At 35.3% G+C, this 6,871-nt stretch overlaps 1 annotated feature.

The window, feature by feature from the left end:
- Nucleotides 548-1,071: an enhancer, noted in NCBI's record as "OCT4-NANOG hESC enhancer chr1:83893396-83893919 (GRCh37/hg19 assembly coordinates)". NCBI's record gives its function as "activates a minimal SCP1, AML or CMV promoter by ChIP-STARR-seq in naive H9 embryonic stem cells {active_cell/tissue: H9 hESC(naive)}" and the evidence as "EXISTENCE:reporter gene assay evidence [ECO:0000049][PMID:30033119]".

Raw genomic sequence — 6,871 nt, forward strand, 5'->3', positions numbered from 1 at the left:
AAGAGGCATTCCTATTTTATCAGAAAAATAAACACTTTAGTTTCATTTCCTCTGCCACACGTTATCTCTTTGTGCTGTCACAACATTTTTTATAGGTTTTTATTTCAAAGGATTACCTTGAGATTACTGTCAATGCAAGCCAGAGAGACATCCCCATACAGAATATAGGGGTAATATTTTTTCTCCTAAAACATCCTGCTACAGACAATATAATATCATATAATATCACCGAAATAATCTCCCCTATTAAGAGCAAAGAGACAGTTTTCAATAGTACTTTGGTCCAAAATTTGAGGAAAATAAAATGTTTATCAGTGACAAAAATACAATTTACCAGCTTGATTTTTAAGTCAAAAATTTAACCTTTTAAACGATTTCAGAAGCTCCGCTAATTTCTACTGTTCCTTGTAACATCTGTAGGCAAAATACAACATGCTGGGTCATAATTCATAGCTTGGCAAGAAAATGTTGCTTAAAAACATAAAGGTCCTTTTCTTTTTATGCAAGAGGAAAACATTTTAGTTATTATTCAACTCAAGTAAATGCTCATAACCATGGAATTAGATATTTCTGAAGGGTTCATTCCTGAGCTTTCTGGGTTGAATTAGGCTTTCTCAGAACTATACTTCATGTCACCCACATGTCTTAAGAACTGGTGCCTTCTGCTCAGCTGTGCATTTTTTTTGCAGACATGCCGGATATCTACGCAGTAAGTGCTCTGAAACTTCAAAGAGACACAGAGCATTCTGTGCTTTCTCTTCCCACCATTCCATGTAAACACCATGAATAACCAGACCATTTTTATGCCCAAAGGCCCTGATGGCTTGACTTTTTGGTCTGTTAATTGTTCACAATCACTCCTTGCCTGTATTGTGCTTGGTAGGACCACCTTTCTGCAGCCAAAATCCAGCCACTTACCACTGCATATACTTCCTACAGCGGAATAGATACTGACCAAAGCCTAGTAGAAACCTGCATGGCATCCTGTCTCTTAATACTTAATGCTACCATGCCCTCAGAGTATTCTTATTCAGAATCTAAACAAGCATGTATTCAGAGGCTACAATGTATCAGGCATTGGTGGTGTTAGCAGTCATAGTTCAGTGAATGGGAAGAAAGATAAAAATCCATGCCTCCCAGTGACTTTAAGTCCTGGTAGGGACAAATACAGAAGATAAGTAAATAAACAAGATAACTGTAGATAGTAATAGGCTCTGTAGGCAATACACCTCAGGATAATGTGATAGAGAATGACTTGGGGATAGGTAATACCCAGATGGGGAGCTGGAACACCGTCCAGGGCAGATGGCATTTGAACTGAAACCTGAAGGAAAAAAGAATCTGGATAGCCTCAACACCAGATCAAACAGGTTTTGAAACATAGAAAACAAGAACAAAGCCCCCAGTGGGTGAGAGGAACTGAAGAAGCCTAGTAGGATGGAAGTATAATGATACTCGTACACTGGAGAATATTGCTAAGCGCAAACAATTCTAAGCTTGTGAAAGTTCCTTGTGATTACTCTATATTTCTTTGAATCATATTGATGAAAAATTCTTTGTAATAATTCCCATCCAAATGTGACTTCTTGGGTGCAAACATAATTTTCACAACTTATTTAAAAGCCTATTTAACTTTGCCTATAGCATGCTTCACAGAAATAGTAACACCCATCTTACAGGACTTTCATGAAGACTACTATGTACGGCAGTCCTCACTTTTTTCCTGCTCAAAATCCTGTCTCCCTTTCCTTTTAAAAGAACACAGACTTTGTTCGTGACCATAATGTGTTCTCCTTAAAACTACATGCATGCATGCATTCCTACACATATACCCACAACCTCACCACTGCTTGCAGCTAGTGAGTTGGCAAGTATGGCACACGTAGCACAGAGATACTAATGAGATGTGAACAGAAGATAGATCTTAAACTCACCCATTGTATTTCCCTTTACTGTTCCCTGTCTGGAAAATGAATGTGATGCTAAAAGAAAGGCAGCCTTCTGTGACCCTGAGGTAGCTATGAGAAGTTGCATATTTGGAACAGTTGAATGGACAGCTTACAGGAGCTGTGTTCTACATAGCTACATAGCTGTATGTAGCCAAATGCAGAATTATATGTAAAGTGCCACAAAACAAATGTAAGGTAAATAGTAGTGTAAGGCCTTCATTATCATTTATATTACTGGTGTGTTTTAATGAAGCATTGAATTTATTTACAGAAAAGGATGCTAAGTTGAGATATTTTAAAGTCAAGCTATATAAGAATTTGAAGGGATATTTAATATAATATCTCCTTTCCCACCAGCCATCAATCTCAGCAAACTCACACAGGACCAGAAAACCAAACACTGCATGTTCTCACTCATAAGTGGGAGTTGAACAATGAGAACACATGGACACAGGGAAGGGAACATCACACAGCGGGGACCGTTGCAGGGTGTGGGGGCAAGGGGAGGGAAAGCATTAGGACAAATATCTAATGCATGTGGGGCTTAAAACCTAGATGACAGGTTCATAGGTGAAGCAAACCACTATAGCACAAGTATACCTATGTAACAAACCTGCACGTTCTGCATATGTATGCCAGAACTTAAAGTAAAATTTAAAAAATAAATAAATAAAAATAAAATAAATTAAAAAAAAATCTTTTTAAAAAGTAACACACCTAGTAGCTATTTACTTCCATAACTATTGTATTTTCTTGCCATACCAAAATATCTGGCATTGTAAGAATGCACAATTAAATATCATTCATTTACTGACCTAGTGTATTGCCAGCAAAGAACATGAAGACATATTCTGCTATTGTTTTTCTTTCTACCATTGATGGTGGCACCAGGCATTTCTCCTATATTCCAAATAAATAATAGAAAATACCTTTGCAGCCATATGAGCATTTGGAAATTATCCTAGCAATCTGGCAAGAGCAAGGAGGTTGACCCGGCCTGCAATGATAAGAACTTAGGGGCTCCTTGTGGCCTAAACTTGTAGCAGGACAATTCTGAGATCAACATTATCACTGTCAATGAGATAGAAGTCTTCTACACAAACAAATGTCTGCTGCTCAAAGGCCTAGTCAGTGTACACCATCTCCCATAAGAAACTTCCCACAGGAATCTTTAGTAAACAACTAAACAGCACTATCCACAATAAGCAGTTGTTATTTATTAATGACCTATTATTTCACCAAACTTATAGTATTAAAATTGTAATTAGTAGTTGCTATCCATTAAGTACCTATGAGCCTAGCACCATACAATACAGTATACATTGTCCTTAATCTTCATATTACTTAATAATATGATTAATAATCCCCAAAATATGTAAAATTAATTGAATTAGCATACATAGGAAAAATTCAAATGCATTTTAAAATTTCTTTATTAAAATAAGCTAGATAACTATGTGGTCAAAATGCTGTCATCTATTACCTACGTTGACTTATTGATGAATGTGTGTAGATACTTTGTCACTGGGTCACTTATGTCTTCAGGCTGCTTATCCATGTCTGCAGAATTTTGCACAGAGTTCTTCCAGGAACTGCCAGGCTTTCTCAGGATAAGATATATCAGATGCATTCAGTGTGATCAGACACATTGGGGTACATTTCTCCCAGAGGTGTACCTGCTGTTTGTAATGCTGCTCAGGATTTCTGCCTACAAACATGGGAATTCTGATAAATTCTATCTTACACAATTCCCATAAAAATATATGTTGTGGGATTATGGTTACACTTATACTTTTCAGGTATATTCCTAATAGGAGAGACCCACCATTTTGACTAGGCATCTACAAAAACTTAACTCTACCCCTGTCCCTTACAATTTTTCATGTTTAATGTTTAGAAGAGTTTTCAACAGACCATCTTCTAGCTCCAGGTATTTCACCTTTTCTCTGCCACTACCCAAGTATTTCTCTATTTCTTCAATTTTTTAAATTAAACTTTTTTTAAGTAAATCACAGATCCACATGCAATTGTAAGAAATAATATAGAGAGACCCATTTCTTCCATATGGCAACGTCTGGCAAAACTATTCTATAACATCGCAACCAGGATATTGATGTTGATACAGTCAAGATTCAAAGTACCACCATCACCACAAAGACCCCTTATGGTGTCCTTCTTCCCTCCTGCCAGACCCACTTCCCTCCTGCCCCCACCTCCTCCTTAACCCTGGCAACCACCAACATGTTCTCTATTTCTATGTTTTTATTTTTTCAAAGATTTTATATAAATGAAATCATATAATGTGCAACTTTTGGTGACTGCCTATTTTCAGTCACCTGAATTTTCTGGAGCTTCATCCAGGCTGCTGTGTATAGGAATAATTTGTTCCTTTTTATTACTGAGTAGTATTCCATGGTATGAAAATACCGCCCAACTATTTTTATTGCCAAACTCTGTAGTTCACATTCATATCACAACATGACCTCCACCCCAGCACCTTCATGACATGATGCCAAGTAAGTCAACTTAGTGGGCAAAAGGAATGTTCCTTACAGGTATCCAAATTCAGTTTAGCAATGACTGAATTATATTTGGAAGTTTTTAAACATTCCAAACTTCGTCTCCAACTCAACTTTCTCTTAGTAAAATGCAAAAGTTAATTAATTTTTAAAAGAAAGAAAAGAAAAAGAAAAAATTATGTTGCCACTCCAATCCTGCCTGATATGAAAGGAAGTATGGCCGAGGGGAATACAGCGTGGAAAGAGACAGTGGTCTCACACAATTATGGTTAAAATATTTTACATTTATAAATTGTATAGCAGTCTGTGCTCAGATGAATACATGGCTAGGGCCTCTTTTAGGAATCTTGAAAGAGGTCAGAGGAAGCATGGGACCTGGAGCATAGGGCTCTTTAGAATAAACCTGCTTCAACTTTCAAATTGCCTATGTGTTAACAGGATCTCTCTTGTTAACTGGAGAAGCTGCCATGCTTATCTCACCAGGCACAAAAATGCTTCCAGCCAAGTCTTCACAATTGCCCTGAACAGGTAAAATGAAAGATACCCACACTTGAGGCTGATGCCCCAGAATACAAATTATTAATGGGTACAAGACCTATTAATGACTTGAGTCTGTAGAGAGCACCCAGAAAAAGAAAGAGCTCTTGATGTCTCACATAAAAAGACGTTTTAATTATTGAACATTTAGTGGCAGGGGTGAGGGAAGGGGAGTGTGGGAGGGCCCAGGTGGAAAGCAGAAATTTTCCTCTACGACTCTCTAGCAACAACAACTGCCAATGACAACAGCAGCTATGTGTTGAACATTTGTTCTGTGCTAGTATTGTCAATTCATTTAAGTCATAAAACAATTCTTTGAGGCAAGTACTTTATTATGTCCATGTTTAAAAGTCAGACTTATTAAGGTATAATTTATTTATCCTTTTTACTGCAAGCCTCGAAATCAGGTAGTGTAATTTTGCTAGGTTTGTAATTCTTTCTCAAAATTATTGGTCAGTCTTGGCCTTTAGCTTTTCCATATAAAATGTTATATCATCTTATGAGTTTTACTAAAAAGCCTTCTGAAATTTTGACTATTGTTGCATTGAATCTTTGATGAATTTGGGAATAATTGATATCCTAAAAATATTGAATCTTCTTAACCATGAATATAGTATATGTCTCCATTTATTTGGGTCTTTAATTTGTCTCAGCAACATTTTGACATTTTTATCAAACAAATCTTACGGATACATTGTTAGATGTATATCTAAACCTCTCATGACTTTGATAATATTTAAATGATATTTCCAATTTTCAATTGTTTACTGCTAACAATTGATTTTTATATTGATTTATTTACTGTGACCTTGCTAACCTCATTTTATTAGTCCTAGTAGATATTTTTGTAAATTCCTTGAGATTTTCTTTAGAAAGAATTATCCTGTTTGTGAATAGAGACACATTCATTTACTTATTTTTGATCTGTATGTCATTTATTTATTTCTCTTGTTATAATGTACTTGGTATAACCTCCAGTGCAATGTTGGAAAGAAGTAGTGAGAGTAAACACCCTTACCTTATGCCTGACCTTGGGAGGAAGGTATTCTGTCTTTTACTGTTAAATCTAATATTAGCTGTGGACTTTTTGTAGATATCCTACATCAGATTGAGGGAGTTTCCTACTATTCCTAGTTTGCTGAGAGTTTTATAGTTGAAAACTATTTTCAATAGTTGCATAATTCATTGTTAACTAGAATATGGTCTATGTTGGTGAGTGTTTCATGTGTACATAAGAATTATGTGTTTCCTGCAACTGTTAGGTGGAGTGCTTTCTAAATGTTAAGTAGATTCATATTATCAAGTAGGTTAGTGTTATTAGAATCTGTTATCCAGGTCCTCTATATTCTTACTAAAATTTTGTCTACTGATTCCATCAGTCAATTAGATAGCAAAGTTAAAATATCCAACCATAATTGGGATATACCTATTTCTCTTTTATGTTTTATCAGATTTTTGCTTTCCATATTTTGAAGCACTGTTATGAAGTGCATACAAATTTACAAATTATTATTTTTTCTTGGTGAATTCACTTCTTTATGTTATATGTCTCTTTACTTCTGAAATTATTGATTAGCAATTACAATATATTTTTCACTCTTTTTCTTTCAACCCATCTATGTTGTTATATTTTAAAGTTTTGTTTTATAGACAGCATATGATGTATTTCTACTTTTTGATTCTATCTTAATACCTATGGTTTTTAATTGGGGTATTTTAACCCTTTATTATATTGTTATTTGTTTTATTTTTCCTTTGTCTAATCTGTTCTTTTTAGTTTTTCTCTGTTTTCTTCTGCTGTATTTTATTTTATGACTCCATCTTATTCCCACTTTGGTTTATTAGGTAAACATCTTTATTTTTTCA

Source organism: Homo sapiens, chromosome 1 (assembly GCF_000001405.40).
Source record: "Homo sapiens chromosome 1, GRCh38.p14 Primary Assembly".
In the NCBI taxonomy this organism is placed as follows: Eukaryota; Metazoa; Chordata; class Mammalia; order Primates; family Hominidae; genus Homo; species Homo sapiens.